The 26,705-nt window shown below is 37.0% G+C and overlaps 1 protein-coding gene across 16 annotated transcripts in view; it reads left to right on the top strand.

The window, feature by feature from the left end:
- Window positions 1–26,705, top strand: part of KIDINS220 (kinase D interacting substrate 220) — a 116,533-nt gene that overhangs the window by 49,038 nt on the left and 40,790 nt on the right. For all 16 annotated transcript variants that reach the window (NR_145965.2, NR_145964.2, NM_001348741.2 and 13 more), the window contains 7 exons: window positions 2,219–2,370; window positions 2,546–2,835; window positions 8,762–8,902; window positions 9,437–9,680; window positions 9,849–9,937; window positions 11,684–11,828; window positions 17,744–17,906. Coding sequence is in view for 14 of the 16 variants with exons in the window: in NM_001348741.2 (NP_001335670.1) it covers window positions 2,219–2,370; window positions 2,546–2,835; window positions 8,762–8,902; window positions 9,437–9,680; window positions 9,849–9,937; window positions 11,684–11,828; window positions 17,744–17,906 (1,224 nt within the window). In the remaining 2 variants the exon portion in view is untranslated. The remainder of the gene's footprint in view (window positions 1–2,218; window positions 2,371–2,545; window positions 2,836–8,761; window positions 8,903–9,436; window positions 9,681–9,848; window positions 9,938–11,683; window positions 11,829–17,743; window positions 17,907–26,705) is intronic.

Here is a 26,705-nt window from a genome sequence, read left to right as displayed (position 1 = left end):
TTATAGGAGCCGGGTGTGGTGGCTCACGCTTGTAATCCCAGCACTTTGGGAGGCCAAGGTGGGCAGATCACCTGAGGTCAGGAGTTCGAGACCAGCCTGGCCAACATGGTGAAACCCCATCTCTACTAAAAATACAAAATTAGCGGGGGCGTCATGGCGCATGCCTGTAGTCCTAGCTACTTGGAAGGATGAAGCAGGAGAATCGCTTGAACCTGGGAGGCAGAGGTTGCAGTGAGCCAGGATCGCGCCATTGCACTCCAGCCTGGGCGACAAGAACGAAACTCTGTCTCAAAAAAAAAAAAAAGTTTATAGAATATAATTTCTCAATGTATGTTCCAAAAAACATTGGAACCTTTTACATACAGAAATAAAAACATGCCCTGGTCAAATACCGTGGGAAACACTTCAGATTATATATCCCTCCTGTACGTTAAAGGATCAGAGGCACCTTTCCATAAAGAAACCTGTTTAACTTTTATTTACCAAATTTTATTTAAGCATAAACCTTTTCTCCCTGTTATGTCACCTGTTACCATCTTTTGGAACACACTTTGAAGAGAGCACTGGATGGAGGAGGGGTCCAGCCACTGGCCTTGGTCCCCAGAGAGCTTCCCGCTGGAGACCTGGCCCTTCCTTATGTGAGCGGTTAACCTGGGGAAACCCAGCTCCCCTCTCTGAGCTGTGCTTTTCTCAGCTCAGGAAATATATTCACATGTCTGTCTAAAATTATTATTCATATTAAGTAGGAAATTTATGAGAAAAAAGAAAAGATGAAAAATGTTTAAGTCCAGGAATAAAGGAAAGGTAGAGGGCTCCAGAGGACAGTGAAATGAAAAAAAAAAAAAGCTAGAAAGTTAAAAGCAAAAGAAATTCAATGGAAGTAAGCAATGTAAGAATTTAAAATGTATTAAGCCAGATGTGGTGGCTCACACCTGTAATCCCAGCACTGTGGGAGGCCAAAGTGGTCAATTGCTTGAGCTCAGGAGTTCAAAACAAGCCTGGGTAAAGGCAAAACCCCATCTCTACAAAAAATAGAAAAATTAGCTGGGTGTGGTGGTGCGTGCCTGTAGTTCTAGCTGCTTGGGAGGCTGAAGTGGGAGGACTGCTTAAGCTTCGGGGGTTGAGGGTACAGTGAGCCAAGATCACGCCACCGCACTGCAGCCTAGGTGACAAAGTGAGACCCTGCTCAAAAAAAAAAAGCATTAAAAGATGAAAATTTTTTAGTTATAAGAAAAAATAAGTGTAATTTAAGATGAAAATAAATAAGCCAAACCAGGTAAAATATTAAAACTGAGTATAAGAGAAAAATAAAGGTAAAAACTTTTAAGTAACTAGCATAGAGAATTAAGTATTAAGAAAAGGATTTAAAAGTGAAAAAGTTAAAAGGAAAACAGAATAAAATAATTGGGGGAATATTTTTACAGAAAATAAGGAAACCAGTCTAAATTAATGAGGTGGTATTTTTTTTTTTCAGTTAGAACAATTAAAGTAGCATCGTCAAGACCACACAGTATATTACAGATTGTATTCTGAGAGCAATGCTTATCTACTGGACTGAGATGAGAGTTTAATTTAGAGATGGAAGGGAGAAAGGAACTAACAGAAATAATAATGATTCAGAGACTCTGAATACAAATAATTCACTTAATTTTGAAGATCAATTGTGAAGAGAATATTTTACAACTATTTCTCAATCCCTGGTAGACGTGGAAGCTATAAATAAAATAAGCCATGCTAAAACTTGAGTTTTTAAATGGTATTACTGGGCTTGAAATTCTTTAATGACTGTAATTAATATTTTTTCAGGGTTAGAGTCTCTTTCGTTGGTGTTAGAAAACTTTCTTGTGCAACTCTTGGTGGCCACATCATGACACGTGTGTCACCTTTTAACCACTATGTCGTGAGATCTGTTGGGGTGTCTTGATACTCCACATCTAAGTTCTGGCGTAACTTTCCCCCGCCTGTCCTTAGTCAGAATTACTTTATATGGCCCTGCACATTTCACTTTTGTTACTGTTTTTTCCTAAGAAAAGTATGTAAGATTTTAGAAGTGGAAGCTACCTAATTACAAATTCTTTTCCCTCCTTGGAATTTAAAAAACAATATTTTGAAAGAGACAAAAAGAAAATAAAGGGTAAGTGATGCAAAGATGACATACATTGAAGTTATTTGTTACTTTAGATAATAAAGTAATGTTTGATTTGTTCTTTTCTTCAAGGTTTTTGTTTACAGATTACAATAGACTGTCCAGTGTAGGTGGAGAAACTTCTCTGGCTGAAATGATTGCAACCCTCTCGGATGCTTGTGAAAGAGAGTTTGGCTTTTTGGCAACCAGGCTTTTTCGAGTATTCAAGACTGAAGATACTCAGGGTAGGATTTCCTTCCTTCCTTCTTTGTGTGTAAGGGATGGGGGTGGGATAGATGTTCAGTTTATTTTCATGAAAACACACCTTGAACATTAGACTCATCAGGTATTGTGACTATAATGTTAGGATTTTCTAGATCCTTGATATGTTAATTATTAAAACCATTTGTTGCATTACAGGTAAAAAGAAATGGAAAAAAACATGTTGTCTCCCATCTTTTGTCATCTTCCTTTTTATCATTGGCTGCATTATATCTGGAATTACTCTTCTGGCTATATTTAGAGTTGACCCAAAGCATCTGACTGTAAATGCTGTCCTCATATCAATCGCATCTGTAGTGGGATTGGCCTTTGTGTTGAACTGTCGTACATGGTGGCAAGTGCTGGACTCGCTCCTGAATTCCCAAAGAAAACGCCTCCATAATGCAGCCTCCAAACTGCACAAATTGAAAAGTGAAGGATTCATGAAAGTAAGCACTCATTGGTTATTAGAAAAAATTGTAATGCGAATATGTTGCCACTGCCATGCTCATTTGGGCTTTAGGAAGTACACTCTCTAAATGTTAAAGTGTTGCATTTATTTTAGTTTAATTTGTTCATTCATTCATTCGTTCATTCAAGACTATAATTTAAGGTAGTTTTAAGTTCACGGTAAAATTTAGAGGGAAGTGCAAAGATATCCCATATACCCACTTCCCCCACACATACACAGCCTCCCCAATTGGCACGATTACCCACCAGAGCAGTACATTTGTTACAATTGATGAACTTAGGCTGACACATCATAATCACCCAGCATCCATAGTTTACAGTAGGGTTCACTCTTGGTGTGGTACATTCTGTGGGCTTGGACAAATGTATAACATGTATCCACCATTATAGTCTTATACAGAGTAGATTTATTGCCCTCAAAATCTTCTGTGCTTCACCTCTTCACACCTGTTCACCCCTCCCTCCACCCTCCTCCCTAACCCCTGGCTACCATTTCTTTTTACTATCGCCATAGTTTTGCCCTTTCCAGAATGTCATATAGTTGAATCATACATGTGTAGTCTTTTCAGATTGGCTTCTTTCACGTAGTCATATGCATTTAAGTGCCCTTCATGTCTTTTCATGACCTGCTAGCTCATTTCTTTTTAGCATGGCTAATGTGCCATTGTCTGGATATATCACAGTTCATTTATACATTTATCTACTGAAGGACATCTTTATTGCTTCCAAGTTTTGGCAAGTATGAATAAAGCTGCTATAAACTTTTGTGGACAGGCTTTTGTGTGAACATAAAGGATTTGAAAACTCCTTTGGGTAAATACCAAGGAGTGTGATTGCTAGATTGTATGATGTTTCGTTTTGTTAGAAACAACCAGACTGTTCTGAGGTGGCTATTTTGCATTCCCACCAGAAATGAATGAGGCTCCTGTTGCTCCACATCACATCCTCACCAGCATTTGGTATTATTGGTGTTCTGGATTTTGGCCATTCTGTTAGGTGTGCAGTGGTATCTTATTGTTTGAATTTGCATTTCCCTGATTACACATGTTGTGGAGCATATTTTCATGTGCTTATTTGCTATCTGTATGTCTTCTTTGGTGAATTGGCTGTGAAGGTCTTGGCTTATTTTTCAGTCAGGTTGTTCATTTTCTTATTGTTGAGTTTTAAGAGTTCTTTGTGTATTTTGGCTAATGGTCCTTTATCAGATAAGCTTTTTGCAAATATTTTGCTCCATTCTTTTGGTTGCTTTTCATTCTCTTGACAGTGTCTTTTGCAGAGCAGACATTTTTGATGAAGTCTAGCTTACTAATTCTTTCTTTCATGGATCTTGCTTTTAGTGTCCTATCTAAAAAGTTAACACCAAACCTACGGTCACCTAGATTTTATCCTCTGTCATTTTCTAGGTGTTTTATACTTTTGCATTTAGGTCTGTGAGCTATTTTGAGTTAATTTTTGTGAAGTGTGAATGTGTCTAGATTCTTTTCTTGCTTGCTTTCTTGCTTCCTTGCTTCTTTTCTTTTTTTTTTTTTGTTTCCAGTTGTTCCAGCACCATTTGTTAAAAACGCTATTTCTTGCATTGTATTGCCTTTGCCGCTTGTCAAAGATCAATTGACTATATTTGTGTAGGTCTGTTTCTGGGCTCTTTCTCTTTGTCTGTTCGTTTGCGCATACCACACTGTTTGATTACTCTAGCTCTATTTTCTTGAAGTTGGGTAGTGTCAGTCCTCCTATTTTGTTCTCCTCCTTCAATACTGTGTTGGCTATTCTGGGTCTTTTTCTCCTCATATGAACTTTTGATTCACCTTGAATAACTTGCTGGGATTTTCATTGAGATTGCGTTAAATCTTTAGGTCAAGTATTGAGTCTTCCTACCCATGAACATGGAATATCTCCTCATTTATTTAGTTCTTCCTTGATTTCTTTCAAGAGTTTTGTGGTTTTTCTCATATAGATCTTATACATATTTTGTTAGATTTATACCTATTTCGTTTTTTGCAGTGTTAATATATATAGTAATTGTGTTCTTAATTTCATGTTTGACGCTGATATATAGGAAAGTGATCAACTTTTGTATTAATCTGAAATCTTGCTATAATTGTTTGTTAGTCCCAGGAGTTTTTTTTCATTGTGGTTCTTTCGGTTTTTCTACATAGAGAGTCAAGTCATCTGTGAACTAAGACAGTTTTCTTTCTTTCTTCCCAGTCTTCATACCTTTTATTTCCTTTTTGTTTGTTTGTTTTATTGCATTAGTTAGGACTTGCAGTACTATGTTGAAAAGGAGTGGTAAGAAAAGGGACAATCTTGCCTCGTTCCTGATCTTAGTAGATGTTTTCATGTTCTCACCATTAAGTATGATGTTAACTACAGATACTCTTTATCAAGTTGAAGAAGTTCCTCTCTATTTCTAGTTTACTGAGAGTTTCTACCATAAATGGTGTTGGATTTTGTCAAATGCTTTTGCTTTATCTAATTATGCAATCATGTGATCTTTCTTCTTTAGCCTGTTTCTTTTTTTTTTTTTGAGACGGAGTTTTACTCTTGTTGCCCAGGCTGGAGTGCAGTGGTGCCATCTCAGCTCACTACAACCTCCACCTTACGGGTTCAAGTGATTCTCCTGCCTCAGCCTCCCAAGTAGGTGAGATTACAGGCATGCAACAGCATGCCCAGCTAATTTTGTATTTTTAGTAGAGACGGAGTTTCACCGTGTTGATCAGGCTGGTCTTGAACTCCTGACCTCAGGTGATCCACCCTCCCTCCTCGGCCTCCCAAAGTGCTGGGATTACAGGCATGAGCCATTGTGCCCAGCCTAGTCTGTTGAAGTGATGGATTACATTAATTGATTTTTGAATGTGGAACCGGCCCTACCTACCTGGCATAAATCTCACTTGATTGTGGTGTATAATTCTTTTTATACATTTTGCATATGATTTTCTAATATTTTGTTGAGGTTTTTTGCATCTATGCTCATGAGATATTTATTGGTTTGTAGTTTGCTTTTCTTGTCAAGACTTCGTCTGCTTTGGGTATTAGGGTGATGCTGACTTCATAGCATGAGTTAGGAAGCATTCCCTTTGCTTCTGTCTTCTGAAAGATCCTATGTAGAGTTGGTATAATTTCTTCTGTAAGTGCTTGGTAGACTTCATTAGTGAACCCTCTGGGCCTGGTGCTTTCTGTTTTGAAAAATTATTATTGATGCAATTTCTTCAATAGATATAGGCCTGTTCTTGTGAATTTTGGCAAATTATGTCTTTGAAAGAACTGGTCTGTTTATCTAAGTTATCAAATTTGTGGGCATAGAGTTGTTTGTAGTATCCCTTTATTATCCTATTTTTGTCCATGAGGTAGGTCTAAAGTGGTAGCCTCTCTTTTATTTGTTGTTTTTCTGAATTTGTGTTTCCTCTTCTTTCATCTTAGTTAGTCCAAGGCTTATTGATTGTGTTTATCTTTTGAACTAACTAGCTTTTGGTTTCATTGTTTTATTTCTGTTTTAGTTTTTATTATTTCTTTTCTTCTGATTACTTTGGATTTAATTTGCTCTTTTTCTAGTTTCCTGAGGTGGAAGCTTAGATTATTAATTTTATTTTATTTTTATTTATTTATTTTTTGAGACAGAGTCTCACTCTGTTGCCCAGGCTGTAGTGCAGTGGTGCGATCCCAGCTTGCTGCAATCTCTGCCTCCTGGGCTCAAGGGATCCTCCCACCTCAGCCTGCCGAGTAGCTGGGACCACAGGCTACACGCCACCACACCTGGCTAATTTTTGTAGATATAGGGTTTCACCATGTTCCCCACACTGGTCTCGAACTCCTGAGCTCAAGCGATCCACCCACCTTGGCCTCCCAAAGTGCTGGGATTATAGGCATGAGCCACTGCACCCAGCCAGATTACTGATTTTATATCTTTCTTCTTTACGAATATATGCATTCAGTGCTATAAATTTTCTTCTCAGCTGTTCTTTTGTTGCGTCCCACAAATTTTGATAAGTTGTGTTTCCATTTTTATTTAGTTCAAAATATTTTAAAATTTCTCTTGAGACTTTTTTCTTTGACCCATGTGTTATTTGGAAGTGTGTTTTTAAATCTCTGCATGTTTTGGGATTTTCCAATTATCGTTCTGTTTTTGACTTCTAGTTTAATTCCACTGAGGGGAAGACATTGTATGCATGATTTCTATTTTAAATTTGTTATGGCGTGTTTTATGGCTCAGAATGTGGTCCATCTTGGTGAATGCTTTATGTGAGTTTGAAAAGAATGTGTATTCTGTTTTTTTTTCTTTTTTTGGATGAAATAAGTGTAGGTGTCAGTTATAGCCAGTTGATTGATGGTGTTGTTGAGCTGAACTGCGTCCTTACTGGTTTTCTGACTGCTGCATCTGTCCTTATAGAATGGTATTGAGGTCTCAAGCTATGATAGTGGATTTATCTATTTCTTCTTGCAGTTCTGTCAGCTTTTGTCTTACATATTTTGATTCTCCTTTCTTAGATATATAAATGTTTAGGATTATTATGTCTCCTTAGAGAATCAGCTCCTTTGTTGTTATGTAATGCCCCCCTTTAATATATATATATTATATATATATAATAATTAATATAGTTACTCCCCCTCTCTTTTGATTGGTGTTGGTATAGCTTTCTCCATTCATTTACTTTTAATCTACGTGTGTCTTTTTATGTAAGGTGGGTTTCTTGTAGATAACATACAATTAGCTCTTATTTTTTGATCATCTCTGACATCTCTTTTAATTGATATCTTTAGAACACTGACGCTCAAAGGGATAATTGGTTTTGATGGATTAATATCTATCGTATTTGTTACTGTTTTCTATTTGTTGCTTGATTTTTGTTCCTATTTTTGTCTTCTACTCTTCTTTTTGTCTTTTATGCTTTTATTGAGCATTTTTTTATGATTCCATTTTCTCACCTTTCTTAGCATATCAGTTGTACTTTTTTTTAAACTGTTTTTTTTGAGTGGTTGCCCTAGGGTTTGCAATATGCATTTATAACTAATCCAAGCCCACTTTCAAGTAATACTATATCACTTCTCAGGTAGTTTATCTTATAATAGCAAAATAATCCTAATTCCTCTCTCCCGTCCCTTGTATCATTGTTGTTACTAATTTCATTTACATTTATAAGCATACATAATATGTACATTATACACACACACACACACCCCCCACCACACACACACACACACACACAGACACACACACACATATATAAGCTTACGTAATCAAGGAGTGGCCACTTCCAAAGTGTTTACATATATGTAGAACCAGAAACCAGCAGTCCTTTTATTTATTTTGAGTTCTATTCCAGATTTTTCCAGTGGAAATACATATTTGGAGTGAGAAACATCATAACAGTAGCATGTTTTTATAAAATAGACTTTTATAAGTTATTCAAAAGAGTTAGCAACTACTGTCTAATAATATAAGTTCCTCTAGAGCCCAGTAAAGATATCTGTTTTTAAAAATAGCAAATTGAACCACCAAAATAAATAATACAGGATTTTCTTTTTCAAAGTGAAAGGTCAGATGCCATCAGGGAGCCAGCAGCAGTGTAGTGCTTTGATCATTTGGATTTGCATCCAGATCTGAATCTTTTCACATTCAGAGCCTCTAATCTTGGCAAGTTAGTCACTCAACCCAGTTTGTTCTTTTTAGAACAGATATGGTAGTGTCTATCCCACAGTGTCATTCTGAGGATCAGCTGCTGTAATTTATGTGTAGTCACTTGGTAAATTGTGAAGCACTCGCTCTTATTTTAAGTGGAAGCACAACTGGCAGCAAGGACTTTGAATGTCTTCTGTTCCTATTAGATGACTTTCTATCACGCTTTCTAAGAAATATGTTTAAGCTTCTTGGATCTTCCTTCAGTGCTTTCTATACCTTCCTTTGCAATACAGGTTCTTAAATGTGAAGTGGAATTGATGGCCAGGATGGCAAAAACCATTGACAGCTTCACTCAGAATCAGACAAGGCTGGTGGTCATCATCGATGGATTAGATGCCTGTGAGCAGGACAAAGTCCTTCAGATGCTGGACACTGTACGTTTGCGCCACCTCAAAAGCCACCATTGTTATGTTGTGGCACTTGAGAGAATGTTTGACTTCACAAATATCTAAAAATAGAACGGAATTGGTTTTTGTTTGAGTAGTTCCTATTTTGTGATTTTTCTTTTGTAAAAACAACCATTCTTTATACAGAAATGTAGCAAGAATAAATGTTTAGTCACAAAGATATTTAAATAATTTTAGCTTAGTGGCACTGTGAGAAAAATGAATAGAGCATCTGTATTCATGAATGTTTCTCATGTGCATTGATTTACCTCTTTAGCAGACTGTAAATGTCTGAAAGAAGGACAATATTAATTTTCTTTGCAGGTTTTATCTATGTCAGATGACAACAAACCTAGATTGAGCTGTCAGTAAAATTTGCTTTTGTGCAGAGTAAGTTTTGATGAAAAGAAATAGTAGTTTAGAAATATTGTCACCAAAAGGTAGCACATATTTTGAAGAGATGCCTTATTCTTTTGGACAATTTAAAATGTATGTCACAACTGTACATTTCTTCTGCCACAGGTCCGAGTTCTGTTTTCAAAAGGCCCGTTCATTGCCATTTTTGCAAGTGATCCACATATTATCATAAAGGCAATTAACCAGAACCTCAATAGTGTGCTTCGGGATTCAAATATAAATGGCCATGACTACATGCGCAACATAGTCCACTTGCCTGTGTTCCTTAATAGTCGTGGACTAAGCAATGCAAGAAAATTTCTCGTAACTTCAGCAACAAATGGAGACGTTCCATGCTCAGATACTACAGGTAAAGCTCAGGCTCCTAAAGTACTTTGAGTTTGAAATAGTTTTGTAGTTTCTTTATGGCGACTCTCCTTTTTACCTTGAAAAATATTGTTGTTGTTTCACATTTCTTTAAATATCATATACAACAGAATTTTGGTGTAAGTGATGCTGTCTTGATAAATTATTTAAGGGATACAGGAAGATGCTGACAGAAGAGTTTCACAGAACAGCCTTGGGGAGATGACAAAACTTGGTAGCAAGACAGCCCTCAATAGACGGGTAAGATGCCATTGGCTTCGAGCTGTATGTTTGTATTGCTATTCAATTTAATACAAATAAAGATGATGCCACTTAAATAATACTTTGTAAATATTGCATTAAACGCTTCAAATAAACATTATCATTGAATTTCCTTTCAGCTTCATGTGTTTCAGGGAATGTCTGCACCTAGAACCCTAACAACTGTACTTCGTATAGGGGTCCCAACCTGTTCTCAGCCCAGGTGCTGCTCCTGATCCCTGGGATCTTAAAGCTTGCCAAATGATTTCATCCAGGGTTGAGAACCACTCTATTCATTCCTGGTCAGGTTGAGCTATGCCTGTTGCCACCATAGCAGTAGGGGAGAAAGGTTTGTAGTGTGAGAAAACTCCTGGCTTTGTCTTCCTGTTGGCCAGCCTTCCCTAAATGCTTGTGGGACGCTCACTCTTTTTTCTCTACCACATAGTAATTTGTGTCCTTCCCAGCCACTGGGGGTTTCTCCAAAACATTGGTTGTCCCTGACCTCCCCATCTTATTTGTATGGAACAAGGGCATGTGCTGTGTATATGTCTGTATGCATATGACAGGAAGATATTCACTTGCAGGGCAGTTGTGACAGTGCCACTCACACTCAGTGAAGTTGGGCTAGTATTGGCATTATGTTTTTTTCTGGTTTGCTACCATTAAGTTTGGATGTCTTACTTTTTAAAAAAATGTCTTCAGTGACATTTTGATTTTATGCCTCTACCCTTTACAGATATGGATGCAAAGTTAATATGATGAATGACAGTTGACAGCACTAAATTCAGAGGCGCATATAACTTACCATTTTTAATTTCTTGCCTGGCAACCTTGGGTGCCCCATGGTTGCATCCATCCTTCCCTTGCATCGGGACCTTAGACAAGAGCACACCTTGGTTGTACCTGTTCCCCCTTTTATGAGATGGAATTCCTTTAGCCCACCCACCCTGAAGAGTGCCTTTTGTTCATGTGGCGATGTGAGGATAGTTAGAGAGGCTGTCCCTTAGTTTTCACATACTTTAAAATAACCTAAACATCAGGCCAGGTGCAGTGCTCATGCTTGTAATCCTAGCACTTTGGGAGGATTAAGTGGAAGGATCACTTGAGACCAGGAGTTCAAGACCAGCCCGGGCAACATAGTGACACCCTCTACATAAAATAGAAATAAACACATTAGCTGGATGTGGTGGTGCATGCCTGTAGTCCCAGCTACTCAGAAGGCTGAGGTGGGAGGATTGCCCAAGCCCAGAACATCCAGGTTGCAGCGAGCTATGATTGCCTTACTGTACTCCAGCCTGGGTGGCAGAGAGAGACCCTGTCTAACAATAATAATAACCTAAAAATCAAAATGCTGAATCCTTAAAACCAGACAAGGGCTTATTTGCTTTATTACTTAAGGGTTTCTATAAATAGCCAGACCCCATGGAGTTTGAATATCATTCTCTTTACACAATTCTGCCTACTTATAATCTTAAAAGCATTGAGCTTCCTCTAACTGTACCACTGTAACTTAAAATGCATCTGAAGCTAAACCATAGCATTTCATGCAGTTGCTGTGAATATGACTTTACAATTGCTTTACGAAGATTCTACCTCACAGATAATAATTTATTACTGTATGATATTCCTCTTTGACTAAAACTTTGGATTTTTTTTTTGTTATAAACATTTATTAACATCTCAAAAAGCCTTAAGTTCTTAGACTGGACGCGTGGGTTCCTTCTCACTGACGACGTGCTGTTTCAGGACACTTACCGAAGAAGGCAGATGCAGAGGACCATCACTCGCCAGATGTCCTTTGATCTTACAAAACTGCTGGTTACCGAGGACTGGTTCAGTGACATCAGTCCCCAGACCATGAGAAGATTACTTAATATTGTTTCTGTGACAGGTGACTTTTGTCTCTTATTGTCTATGATAGTTAATAAGCTTTAGCATTCACAAAACCATTTAATTTCAGAAACAAAGGTATGTATTGTGTGTATATGTTTACATTGCTGAATACTGGCTTTATTTGTATTAAGTGCACTTAGTGAAGTCAGTTTTAGTTTTGACAATGAAAAGTCAACTGATATTATCAACTGTCGGCTGTATACCATTATTTTAAAACTTTATTATTTAAAAAATCTTTTGCTTCAAGTTTTTCTTTCACTATAAAGATAATTTTATTCTGATTTGTATTACTGAGTATAAGCTTATAATTTAAAATGTTGAGATTCAGATGTTATATGCTTTTTTTTTAATTTTCATATATTTTGAATAAAAAATATTGACAATAAAATTGAGGATTATTGCCCTGTGCCTGAAGTCCCTGCATGGAATTCTGCCTTGTGAATTCCTCCTTGCTCATAGCTTCAGGGCAACCACATAAATACTTGTAATTTAGTTTGTAAAATATATGTCTCTTTGCAGGGTATTGGTTGGTACTTTGTAATATTTACTAGTGTTAACTCTATTATGATAGTTATACTAGAATTGTGTTTAATATTGTTGGGGTTCATGCTGTGAACTGTATTCCAAGTGAGGTTGTATCTAATATACTTACAATATTTTTGGTACTTAAGTTCCTTTAAGTGAGTTCTCAAGCCTCACTGTATTTATGTTCAACAATGGGAATGTTTTAGTATGTTATCAACATATATGTATTCATTTATCAAATGTGTAGCGAGTGTCTGCCTTATGTCAGGTAACATTTCTGGGCATTGTGGAGATAAGCAGTGAACAAGATAAAGTCTCTGCCCTAGTAGAGAAAACCAAAAGATATAACGTCACAGAATGATGTGTGTCATGAAAACAAGACTGTAAACAGGAGATGGCCTTCCCTCTCACTCGAAAATTACTCCCATCAACACACAGATTGTTGCTCCCTTCCCAAGAAAAGCTGCTCTTGACTGTACCTCTGCCTCTAGCTACTACCCCATTTCTCAGCAAAGCTCCTCAAAAGACTTGTCTGTCCCTGTGTCTCATATTAATCTCCCTCTGTTTTCTCTAACTTATTCCAATAATCTCTTGCTCTCAGTTCAGTAAAATTGCATTTTCAAGGTCACCAATGGCTTCCATGTTATAAAATTCAGTGGCCAGGCCAGTGCTCATCTTATTTGACCCCATTAGTGGTGTTTGACAGTGTGTTGATCACTCTTCCTCTTTGAAAAATTTTCCTCCTTTGGCTTCCAGAATGCCACACCGACTGGATTTCCTCCTTTTGCGCTGGTGGTTAGCCTTCATCTCCCTTTGCCATTTAGCATTGGAATGCCCTTGGTTGCGTTTCTTGGAGTTCTCCTTTTCTATCTAGACCTGCTACCTTGGCGACCGCATTTACTCTGAAAGGCTTAAATGCCATCTATATGCCAGTGACTCTCAAATATGTATCTTCAGCCCTATAGCTCTTCAGTTGCTTGTTTGACATCTAATGGTGTCAATATATATCTGACACATAATATGTCCACAATTGAATGTTTGATTCTCTGACTCAAACTTCATCCATCCATGTCTTTCCTATCTATTAATCCAACTCTTTTCCAGTTCCTTAAGTAAGAAAATCTTGATCTTTCTTTCATATACTACCACCAATCTACTAGTAAATTCTGTAGCACTGTTTTCAGTCTATTTCCAGAAGATGAGCACTGTTCGCCATTTTCTGGCATACCACCCTCATCAGATACATTATCATGTTCTACCTTTATTAATTATGGAAATAGTCTAACTGGTCTCTACTCCTGTCTTTTTCTCTCTACAGCCTATTCTCCATACGGCAACCACAGTGATTCTTTTAAAATAGAAGCCAGTCATGTTATTCTCTGCTCAGAACTCTGTAATGTGTCCTCATTTCACTGAAAACAAAAATCTAAGTCCTTATAGTTTCCTACAAAGCCCTTTATGATCTGATTTTCTGCATCCCCTTCCTCCTTCTGACCTCATCTCCCACCATTCTCCTCCTCCATCCCTTACTGACTTCTTTGCTGTTCCTTGAAAATGTCAGATATGCTCCCATCAAAAGGCTCCTCCTGCAATTGCTATTTCTTCTGCCTGTACAGATTGTTCTTTGGATATATGCATCATGGGGTTTCTCACTTCCTTTTAAGTCTTTGCTTAAATGTCAGCTTTTCTACAAGATCTTCCCTCACCATCTCGTATAAAATGACATCTTCTTTGGTATGCTTTGCGTTACCTGTTCCCTGCTTTGTTTTACTCAACAGAAAAAATCACCTCTAATTCACTACATCATTTACTTTTTTGTTTGTTTGTTTCTTTGGTTTTTGTTTGTTTCCCCTCAGTAGAATTTAAAATCCACCTGGCAAAGGTTTTCTATCTATCTTTCTTTCCTTCTTTTTTTTTTTTTTTTTGAGACAGAGTCTCACCCTGTCTCCCAGGCTGGAGTGCAGTGGCATGATCTCGGCTCACTGCAACCTCCGCCTTCGGGGTTTAAGTGATTCTCCTGCCCCAGCCTCCCGAGTAGCTGGGATTACAGGCATGTGCCACCACGCCCGGCTAATTTTTGTATTTTTAGTAGAGATGGGGTTTCTCCATTTTGGTCAGGCTGGTCTTGAACTCCTGATCCGCCCGCCTCGGCCTCCCAAAGTGCTGGGATTACAGGCATGAGCCACTATGCCCGGCATTCTATCTGTCTTTCTTATTGTTGTTTTCTCAGTACCCAGAACAATGTCTAGGACACTGTTGTTAAATGACTAAGAGACCTGAATGAAGTGGGAACTGAGTTTTATATCTGTCTTGAGAAAAGCATCTTAACAGGAGGAAGAGCAAGTGTGAAGGCTCTGGGGTGGAATTCCAGCAACAGCTGGAGGCCAGTGTGGTTGCACTTTGGGGATCAAAAGAGAATAGTGGGAAGTATGTCAAAGAACTAGCCACTGGCTGGGCGCACCGGCTCACCCCTCTAATCTCAGCACTTTGGGAGGCTGAGGCAGGTGGATCACCTGAGCTCAGGAGTTCAAGACCAGCCTGGCCAACATGATGAAACCCCGTCTTTACGAACAATACAAAAATTAGCAGGCGTGGTGGCTCACACCTGTAATCCCAGCTACTCAGGAGGCTGGGGCAGGAGAATTGCTTGAACCCAGGAGGCAGAGTTTGCAGTGAGCTGAGATTGTGCCACTGCGCTCCAGCCTGAGTGACAGAGTGAGACTCCATCTTAAAAAAAAAAAAAAGAAAAAATCTAGCCCCTGGGTAGTTCACTTTGAGGCTTACAGGCCCCAAATCCATAGGAAGGATTTTGGATTATATTTAGACATTTTCAGACACTCTAAAGAGGACCAAATTAACATCATTTAATAGTTGATACTGAGATACACATTTTTAAAATAATGATGTTTACACATTTCAGAATAGAAAGAAAATATCTTCCTAAAGCCACATTTCAAATGTACGAATTTCTCTAATATTATTCTGACTATACAGTAGACTTTCCAATTGTTAAATCAGAGATATTTGTCTTTTATGTCTCATCAAATATAACTCTGCCTATGAAAAATTTCTAAGTAAAATTTTCATTTTATAAAAGCCCCTAACACCATTAGTTTCATTGCCTAAAAGTGCTATGTTGAAAAATAACTTACAGGTTTAAATCTGTGTGTTTAATGAAATTTTGATTTCTTTTTTTGTGATGTTTTCCATTTCATTGAGTAACATTAGTTGGAAGTGTGTAGGGAAATATATTTTATTGGAAAGGATAGAATTTGAAGGCAAAAGACTTGGGTTTGAGTCACGGGCATGTTACTTCTTAGCCTCTTGAATCCCCATTTCCCATGTATGCAAAAGTGTATGTTACCCGCCCAACACCATGCAAATAGTTGCTATTAGGAAAGTCATTCAATAGAGAGATTAATATCAGAAAAGAATTTGAGGTTTTAGTAGATAAATATTGATAAGTATTTAGTTGAGTGGTTTCCTAATTAAAAATTGTGCTGTATCAAATGTACTTTATTTCAAATTTGTTTTATTGGATTATTTTGGAAGATAAGATTAAAAAATTATCTTAGACATATTCGTTGTTCAGAATTTTCTTTTGATATTGCTTTCTTTTTAGCTAATTATAGGCTAGATATATTCTTAGGATAGAATATTTATTTTTATTCACTCATTATAGGCTAGATATATTCTTAGGATAGAATATTTACTTTTATTAACTCATGCTTTTTTTTGTTTTTTTTCGAGATAGTCTCGCTCTGTCCTCCAGGCTGGAGTGCGGTGGTGTGATCTTGGCTCACTGTAACCTCCATCTTCCAGGTTCAAGTGATTCTCCTGCCTCAGCCTCTCGAGTAGCTGGGACTGCAGGTGCCTGCCACCACGCTCGGCTAATTTTTATATTTTCAGTAGAGGCGGGGTTTCACCATGTTGGCCAGGCTGGTCTTGAACTCCTGACCTCAAATGGTCCTCCCACCTCTGCCTCCCAAAGTGCTGGGATTACAGGTGTGAGCCACCACACCTGGCCTATTCACTCATACTTTTAAAATAGTTTTCCAGTTCTCTCTGTCTACCGGTTCCTTCATGACTTTGCATGCATGCATGGTGCATTTGCTGTTCCTTTTGTCTGAATGTCCTCACTCTGCTTCCCTTGTCTCTGCCAGCCCGTGCCTTCCCACCAGACTAACTTGGGTTCATCCTTCATCGCTTAGTTCTAGTGGTTAGTTACATTCTTTTTTTTTTGTCTTTTTCTTTTTAGTAGTTATATTCTTAAGGAAATCTTCCCTTAACTGCCGCTTCTAAATTTGGTGCTCATTTTCTCTTTTCACACAGCACTGTGTGTATATCTCCAGCATAGCCATGTCTCCATCAATGCTCACATCTCACCTTCCAGGGAAGAGGAATCCAGCCATGAAAATATAATTTCTGTGTATGAGCAGATTTGCTGAGGAAGTGAGGGCCTGGTGATATAGGAAGAATTGGATTGGGGCTTATATATCTATATGTATATCTATATCTATCTATATATCTATATGTATATATCTGTTAGTAGTAGGGAAAGGAATAACTCATATTGGAACTAAAACAAATAGGTATCTTAGTCTACATACAAACAAAATAGATAATGATGAAGTAAAATTGACAATGTTTGAAAATTTAACAACAGTATCAGCAGCTCAGAATTTCTACCAAATCATGGTGAAACATGATACAATGAAACAAGGCATCCGTTCTGAAAGTTTGAGGATTGCGACTGTCTACATGTACACAAGCCTAGTGGTAGAACAGCAAATCAGAGTCCTCAGAAAATCCCAGCAATAGACAGGGTTGTTTTAAAATACGTAAATAATAAATATTAGAAACATTACAACTCAGTTGGTAGGTTACTTACATAGACCACCCTTAGTATGTGAAAATGAAAGCCTGTGGGATTGCCCATTCATCTATACTACAACGAGAATGGACTGGCATATTTGGATCTGTTTATAGTCCATCAATAGGATCTCAGCAGATGGCACTTTAGAGGATTGGGGTCCATTGTGGGTGAATGGATGTTCTGCTCAATGATCGTGGGTGGCGTTGAACTGTGTGACACAGTTCTGAAAGATGTTTGCCTGCATATACGTGGTCGAAGAAGTATATCTCACCAGTGGCAAATCAAACAACCAAAAAATTGCTTTAGAATTAAAATTGTGTTTAAGCCCTAAAAGCTTTACTTAATGCAGCTCTTTGGATTTTAGAAGCCATGGCAGTACTAGATTTGAATTTGTAGTATAAATTAAATGGTAAATTTTAGAAATTTAAAATATTTGTGAATATACTAAATGTTTTACTTAACATACTATCACACATCTATTAATTTTTAAATGCTTTTGTATTTTTTAAAAGGACGATTACTGAGAGCCAATCAGATTAGTTTCAACTGGGACAGGCTTGCTAGCTGGATCAACCTTACTGAGCAGTGGCCATACCGGACTTCATGGCTCATATTATATTTGGAAGAGACTGAAGGTATTCCAGATCAAATGACATTAAAAACCATCTACGAAAGGTACCTTTTGTGACCTCTTTGTATTTTACTTTATTTTAGGTTGAGTTAAAAAAAAAAAAAAAACGCGTATAAAGCAGACAATACAAAATAATATGTATAAAATGTATACTCCTGGATTTAATCATTCTTATTAATTCCATTATAATTTTGGAGTTGTATTAGCACAGGTATATATCCTGTCATGTAAAATCTATGACTTTATTTGGACAAACTTTTCCTTTTTCAGGTATATAAAGTTTATTTAAAATTTTAAAAAATTTTTTAGAAACAGGATCTCTCTCTGTCACCCGGGTTGGAGCACAGTGGCACAATCATAGCTCACTGTAGCCTCAAACTCCTGGACTCAAGTCATCCTCCCATCTCAGCCTCCCAAGTAGCTAGGACTGTAGGCGTGCACCAGGACTCCTGGCTCTTTCTTTTTATTTTTTTGTAGAGGCGGGGACTTGCAGTGTTGCCCAGGCTGGTCTTAAACTCCTGGGCTCAAGCATTTCTCCTGTCTTGGCCTCCCAAAGTGCTGGGATTACAGGCGTGAAACACTGTGCCCAGCCTTAGTGTATAGTTTATATACACTTCTAAGATTTCAGATAACTTTTATTTCCTTAGAGTATTGTCAGTATATGGTTTTCCTATTTTTCTAGTTCCTATTTTTTATGTACACATTTAATGTTTTCTAAGTAAATAACTGGTTTTAGAATTATAGATGTTGTTGTATTAGTCCACAGATTTGAGCTCTTCTAGGTTTTGCTGTTTAATTTATATGAAAGTAGTTTAGTGGTTTAAACCTGTGTGCTGTATCAAGTAGGTGTTCCAGTAGATGCAGTGATGTATAATTACTGTCTGCCTATTGAGAAGTGGTACTGAATTGCATCTGGTCTTTGAGGTTTTACAAATCATCTTATTGTGAGATGCATGATTCGTTTTTCTCTTGGTTCTGTAGTACAATATTTTATTGTACATACAAGGTTTTATTTCGTGAATAAACGTTTGTATTATAATACAAGTGCTGTATAATTATGAACGTTTGCTAAGCGGTTAAAACTTAAGTTTTAAAAATATTTAAGTGCCTCGTAATAATTCATACCAATATAATGAGGTTTATTTTTCGCATGTTATATTTATACATAAAGCCCTATTTAATGTAAACAGGTAATCCCTTGACACTCTCATCTATCCTCAAGATTGTTGTTGTTATCATTTGTGTGTAAATAAAAATGTGTCATAAAAAAGAATAAGCCTTCGTTTAGGAACTGTGGAGTGATGTCTTAAGAAACAGTAGTGGAAGGAATTTGTGGCTGCTTTAGATTCTTAGACCCTGTCTGAATTGGTTTAGGAGTAGTATATTACTCCAGGAATGTATTTCTAGATTTCAAGAAATTTGTAAACTTGGGCACAGGAGAACTAGTTATCTCACATGGGTCCTTGCTTAAGGAGGTCGAGTCACTTAGTGTTACTGACCTCCTTCCTTCACGTCAGGTACTTTGCTAGGTGCCTTATGTATTCTTGCACTTTGGAAAGTGCAGAGGTGTTAGGTGGGGATAGAATGAGGGATGTGAACTTTGCTTTGCCATTAAACCAACTCATTACTTTAAACTTCGGCATTTGGCAGGCTTGCCATCTATGACTGGGCTGGATTTGGGGTGATTTTGAGATGCTTTTCTTCTCTTCCTGGTGAAATAGGTATATTTAAGTCTTAAATGCCTGCAACTACTTACAAAGAATATTTCGTAGCTAGTCTAAGGAAGAGAAAAAATATAGTAAGCAATCATTGATAATTCGTATGAATTGACTTAAAATAATTATATATAATAAGGATTTGGAATGAAAAACTATAGGAAGACACTTTGATTAACATATTGGAAAGCCAGATATTAAAGTATGTGAGAATAATCTAGATGATTATGTTTCTAGTTAACTGTAGTTGAGTTCTTTGATGCTATTGCTTGTCATTTGAATAAGAGAAAGTTTTATTTACAGCCGACAAAAAGCAGCAGTATGTAATTGATATTCATTTGTTGTACTAAAGAAATATGATTTGGTAAAAACAATCAGAAAATAGTATTTTTAACGCTAGTAGTAAAATTTATTTTTTTAATGCATAAAAAGCCTCGTTTATTTTTATAGCAATTTGATGACACATCTGCTGGCTTTATTCAGGTGAAAAAGAAAATGTTGGTTCTTGGTGTTTGGTGAAATTGTTAAATTATTTTCTAAATTGTTCAACTTTTAACAAATGACATTTGATACTAACACTGGAAAGCAATTTCAGCGAATTAAATAGACCCCTCTGTAAACCACGGGAACATTAAGATGACACACTGTTCATTCAAGATGGTTTTAATTGGTACAATTATTGTAATTTTCTTGCAATTATGTGTTGAGTTGAAAGCTTTTGTCTGGATCATTTGAGAGTTTTTTTTTTTTTTAACATACATTTAGTAAGAAAGGGAGTAAAATAAAAACTAAAAATTTTTTGTCTAGTTTTTATTGCAGCATTTTAGACAACCATTGAAATATTTTAATCTAAAACTTTATTTCTGGCATTTAAAGCAGAATGATAGTGGTTTTTAAAAAAATGAATTTAAGTAGTTTTCATGAAGATAGTGCTTTAAATTTCTGTTTTGACACTGCTCAGTCAATCTTTTACCCAGGCCATGATATGGTCAGAATAAGTTTGTGATAAGGATAACAACATTCTTTATTTTGGTACTTTATTTTGATGTTTAAAGAACAGTTGAATAAGTTCTAAGGGTGCTTCAGAATAGTAGCCATTTTCCATTTCATTGAAGTAGCAATTTGCTGTACAGACAATATGGACATCTAATTTATGACTTTAATAGACCTGTTATTTTTAAATTATTCAAGTAATGTTATTTCTATACATTATTTAGGACATTCTCATAATAAAACATCATATTTTATGATAACCTCTCCTGATATTCACCCAAAGCTTTCATAAGCTTCATTTTATCACATGTAGTCATCTCATACCTCTTGTAGCTCTCACTAACCTGCTTGCTCTCTCCATCATTTTCTGGGTGATGATCAGCTCTCCTTCCCTCTCTTCCCCGCCATCATTTGGCCTGGATTATTGCACAAGCTTGTTTCTTTTGCATGTGGACTTAAGTTATGAATGTGGATAGCATGAAAAATTTAACATTAGTTAGTTTAGAGGAAGTTGTTGCTTCACCTCCTTTGTAGTACAAAGTCCATCCTTTGTACTGATAATTTTTCTCTTTAGTTTTTGAGATACTAGCAATATTTATTCCAAAAACTGTTTAATGCATGCTATTTTGGTGTTTTTTATATATAGCTTAGAATCTTCATGAAATTCTTTGTTTTTGATATATGACTTATTTGTAGGTATTGGTGTTGTCATCATTCAAAATTTATTAAATTACTATCTTTTATATAATTATTGTTTCCATCTTTATTCTCAAAACACACTTGCTTTGACCGCAGAGGTTCAATATTTTATCCATATCTTTATCTTTTTAAAGATAAAGCCTGATCTAGTTATTTGTAAAATTACAAGATAATTCCCCATATAGGAGAGGAAACTAAGCAGGTTTTTACTGAAATAAAGATTGTGTCATCTATAATAGAAATCATGTTTTATCTGGACAGAAATAAATGACATTTGTATATTTGCCAAGTTCAGTGTGAAGAGTGAGCCTGCAAACCTTGTATAAATATAGCCATAATCAGATGTAATGTTGACCATTCAATGTGCATTTCTGGCTTTGCATTATTTTTATCCATGTCTTTGTGAAAATTGGACAATTGAGATTTCTAAAGATAAAGGTGAAGGGCATAATTTTTTAGCTTATTTTGATGTATCTTTAAATCATGCCTACTTTTGTTGTGTGGAGAAAACAATGAAATGCATTAAACTGACGTGTTTGGCTTTTTTTTAGTTTACCTATTTGTGTATTTTGCTACTTATTTATTTTGTTGTTGTTACTAGATTTCCAGCAACATCCAAAGATGTGAGAGAAATTAAGGGGAGAAAGCTTAAAATTCATTCATTTATTCAGAAAACAGTTATTGGACACCTATTATGGACCAGGCACAGTTCTGAGAGCTTGGGTGTATCCATGAACAAAACCAGCAAAGATCCCTGCCCCGAGGAGCTTGCAGTCTGTCAGAGAGTGATGGGTAATAAACAACATATATAATACATAATTAGCATGTTAAAGGCAGCAAGTGTGGTGGAAAGAATAAAAGGTAGAAGAGAGTTAAGGAGATGAAGAGTAGTGCAGGTTCTGCATTAAGTAAGGGGATCAGGATTGTCCTCATGGAGAAGGGAAGAGTTGAGGAAGGGTTGAAGGAGGCAAGACAGTTTTCCAGGCAGGTATCTGAGAAAGCATTTCCAGGCAGAGGGAACAGTTCCGGGCCAGAGAGCACCTGGAATCAATGTTGAAGGAACAGCAACAAGGGAGCTGATGTGGTGAGATGGGGTGCAGTGAAGCAAGTGAGTAGGAGGTCAGGTCGGGTCACCAGTGGGGTTCATGGACCCCTTTTGGAGGACCATGGTAAGGACTTTGGCTTTTACCCTGAGTAAGATGGGGATTCGTTGCAGGGTCTTGAAAAATGTGTGGCCATTACCCTGATGCTTCAGGGCCTATTTGCTGTATCAGTGCAGCTTGGCCTGAGTTAGGGAAGCCTGTTGATTCAAGGGAGCTTGTTTTGAGACTCTCACGGTGGGAAGGGAATAGGAATGAACCTGGGTGGAAAAATTAAGGTAAATGAAAAGTTCAGAAAGTAATTGGCTATCCCACAGTAAAGATGAAATGATTAATAGAGTCGGGCATGGTGGAGTACGCCTGTAATCCCAGCTACTCGGGAGGCTGAGGTAGGAGGATCACTTGAGCCTGGGAGTTGGAGGCTGCAGCGTGCCATGACTGTGCCTGTGAATAGCTACCACACTCCAGCCTGGGTGACTAGTGAAACCTTGTCTTTTAAAGATAATAAAAGTTGGGTTATAGAAATAGCACATTGTGGCATTTTCTATGTGAGCTAGGAAGTAAATAACCTCACCTACAGTCCTGTTGCAGGGTATTGAAAGAAAATTAGTTATTCTAAACATCTGCAAGAATTTATAAGACTAATTTCCCTTTGTGTCTCCCCTGTCGCAATACTTTCTTGTTTCTTAGGATCGTTTTATTCTTTATTTTTTAATGATGGATTTATAGCCAACTTTTTGTATCATTTAAAAAACTGCCTTCCTTCCTGTTTCTTGCCATGGTCTGGCTCTCTGATATACAAACCCCTGGTTGAGAGTGAATGAAAGGTGATTTTTGTGGCATTGAAGACTGCTAGGTGTAGGAAAGATATCATGGGCAGGAGAGCAACTAATGAGTTGCTTTTAGAATAATAATGATTTTGACTTATAGATAGTATAAAGTGCAAATGATGGTCTGTGCATATCAAATTGGGCTCTAAAGACAAAAGGATATAATTGGTCAAAACCTGTATTCAGGCACCAGGTTTCTGCTGGAGTTCGCAGTGTCCTCAGCCTGGCTCCGGCTCCTTCTCCCTCTTACTGTTTACTTTTCATGTGCTCTTCTCTTTGGCCCATCCCACCTCCTTCTTCTGGTCTCATCTTAAATATTACTGCCTTAGGAAGCCTTTTGTTACCAAGCCCCCCCATCCTTCGAGGCTTTATTAGATGAGTCCTTTATGTACTAGTGTGTTCTTTCATAACACTGGCCATAGTTACCTTCTTATACATATTTGCATTGCTATTTCTTTAATATTTGTCTCCTGAATGAGACTATACACTTCATGAACTGTAACTTTCTTAAACATTGCTGAATTTTTTTGCTTCTAGACAAGTGATCAGTATTTAGGCAGTAGTGGGTATTTCTGAAAGAATAAAGAAATCTGATGATAACTTTTGGATTGAGGAAGGCATGAATTGGGGAGGTGGTAGATGAGAAGCCTCACTTTATCTTGAAGAGAATACCGTCCATCCAGATACTTCATTCTTTAGGCTTAAATATGGGTAAAATGTTTCTTTTGTTATATACCAGTATATCCCTGGGCCGGACACATAGTAGCTTCTCAGTACACATTGACTGAATGATGACTGTATATTTCACCTAACACTTGGCGGCTTCTGCCTTATGTCAGGTGATGCTAAAATCACAGCAATGTTTTTGAAGGCATTCCCTGTAACTCTGAGTTCAGCTGCATTTCTAAGGTTTCTTACATTCATAATCCATTTATGAATGCCATGGTCTGGTGGAGTTGCTCTGTGTTTTTTAAAATTTTTATTTCAATAGCTTTTGGAGTACAAGTGGTTTTTTGTTGCATGGATGAATTATTTAGTGGTGTATTCTGAGATTTAGTGCACCCATTATCCAAGTAGTGTGGATTGTACCCAATATGTAGTTTTTTTTCCCTAGCCTTCCTCCCATCCTGTCCCTTCTGAGTCTCTAAAGTCTATTATTTTATTCTGTATGCCTTTGCTTACTCATAACTTGGCTCCCACTTATAAGTAAGAACATATGGTTGTTGGTTTTCCACTCTTGTTTTACTTCACTTAGAATAATGGCCTCAAGCTCCATCCAAGTTGCTGCAAAATATGTTATTTTGTTCCTTTTAATGGCTGAGTAGTATTCCATGGTGTATATAAACCACATTTTCTTTATCCACTCATTAGTCAGTGGGTACTTAGGTTGGTTCCACATCTTTGCAATTGTGAATTGTGCTGCTATAAACATATATGTGCAAGTGTCTTTTTCATATAATGACTCTTTTCCCTTTGGGTAGATACCTAGTGATGGGCTTGCTGGATCAAATGGTGGATCTGCATTTAGCTCTTTGAGGAAATCTCCATACTGTTTTCCATAGAGGTTGTACTAATTTACATTCTGGTGGAGTTGCTTTGGATTGACTACTTCTAGACAGGTTCCTCTCACTTCAGAGTCTTCTTAGAGACTCAGTTTCTTCTTAGAGACTTGTTGTCAGAATTGTTTTTAAAAGGCCATGTACTTAGATGACTCCAGTTCTGTTGTGCTAAACATTTTAATTGTGTTCATTTATTAAACAAATATTTATAGAATTTATTATATGCAGGGCACAGTCTAATAAAAGTAGTAGCTAATATATTATGTGAGCCCTCATTCTGTCCCATGCATTGGATTAAGCACTTTACCTAGCTTATCACATTTAATGCAGGTTGCATATCCCTAATCTGAAAATCTGAAATCTGAAATGCCCCCAAATCTGAAACTGAGTGCCGACGTGATGTTCAAAGGAAATGCTCACTGGAGCATTTGGGATTTTGGATTTTTGGATTAGGGATGCTCAGCTGGTACTGCCGAAACTCCCAAATCTGAAACACTTCTAGTCCCAAGCATTTCAGATAAGGAATACTCAACCTGTACTTCTAACCCTAAGAGGCAGAGAGCAGGAGTTACCTAAGACCTCACAGCTGTAACTGCGCTTCCCCAAGTCTGTTTCTTGGGGCCAGGAGCCTGTCCTCTGTAGCTGCCAGCTAGGCAGTGGGTCTGAGATACCAGAAATATAGAACTAAATATTTTAATTTCCAGATAGATTTTAACTTTTCATTGATATATCTATGAGTATTTAGAATAACTTATTAGGGTATCAATGGGAATGTTATAGCAGATAGAAATTTTTCTGCAGTGTTGAATTTATCTTTTCTGTTGAAAAACGCGAACAACTTAGCAACATATAAAATCTCAAATAAATGCTTTATTTAGTTCTAATTGTGTCTAGTAACTGTGCTAGGTTTTGTGTGGAAAGCTTTAAAAAATCACTTCTGATATTTAGCACTTAAACATCTGGTACATCTGTTTGTTTAAGCCTTTATACCATTTCTATGTCTACTATATGGCTATAATTTTTTTTAGGTAACTTTTTCAATAGGTTTTCTTTTCTTTTCTTCTTTTTTGTTTTTCTTTGAGATGGGGTCTCGCTCTGTCGCCCAGCCTGGAGTGCAGTGGCGCGATCTCGGCTCACTGCAAGCTCCGCCTCCTGGGTTCACGCCATTCTCCTGCCTCAGCCTCCTGAGTAACTGGGACTACAGGCGCCCACCACCATGCCCGGCTAATTTTTTTTGTATTTTTAATAGAGACGGGGTTTCACTGTGTTAGCCAGGATGGTCTCGATCTCCTGACCTCGTGATCTACCCGCCTCAGCCTCCCAAAGTGCTGGGATTACAGGCATGAGCCACCGTGCCCAGCCAATAGGTTTTCTTTTACTTTTGATTTTGAATGTATTTTCTCAGACTTTACTCTCATAATGCCATTTTCAGTGTTTAATGCAAACGTAGAATGAAGAAAAAATATTAAGTGTTCCAAAGTCATGTGTTTCTAACGTCAACATGAAAAACTCAGGTATATTAACCCAGATCTTCATTATCCAAAACCCTTATTGTACGAGTTATCTTAAAAGATTTAACATTGAAAAAGTATATAGAACATTCCAAAGTTCTACAGTGTTTGGAATTGTTGGAAACTAATACCAAAGACAATTTCTTGAAATATATGTTTTAATATGTAAGAAATACATGTTTAATATGTAAAAAAAATTATTACTTGTGCAGGTTTACAGTTTATTTTATAATATAGTAAGAGCATTATGTATAGTTATATTTTTCAAACAAGTCTGATTATTAAAGAATTCAATTTACCAAAAAAATTACATATGCCTTGACAGATCAAGTAGCCAACTTTTTCCAGAAGTTGATTTTTCCAGTAAAGGTTTGTGATTTCAGAATTTCAAATCAAAATATTTAAAGACTTTTTAAAATACAAGAATAAACAAAAG

This window comes from Homo sapiens, chromosome 2 (assembly GCF_000001405.40).
Source record: "Homo sapiens chromosome 2, GRCh38.p14 Primary Assembly".
Lineage (NCBI taxonomy): Eukaryota > Metazoa > Chordata > Mammalia > Primates > Hominidae > Homo > Homo sapiens.
This window is presented reverse-complemented; position numbering and strand designations above follow the sequence as displayed.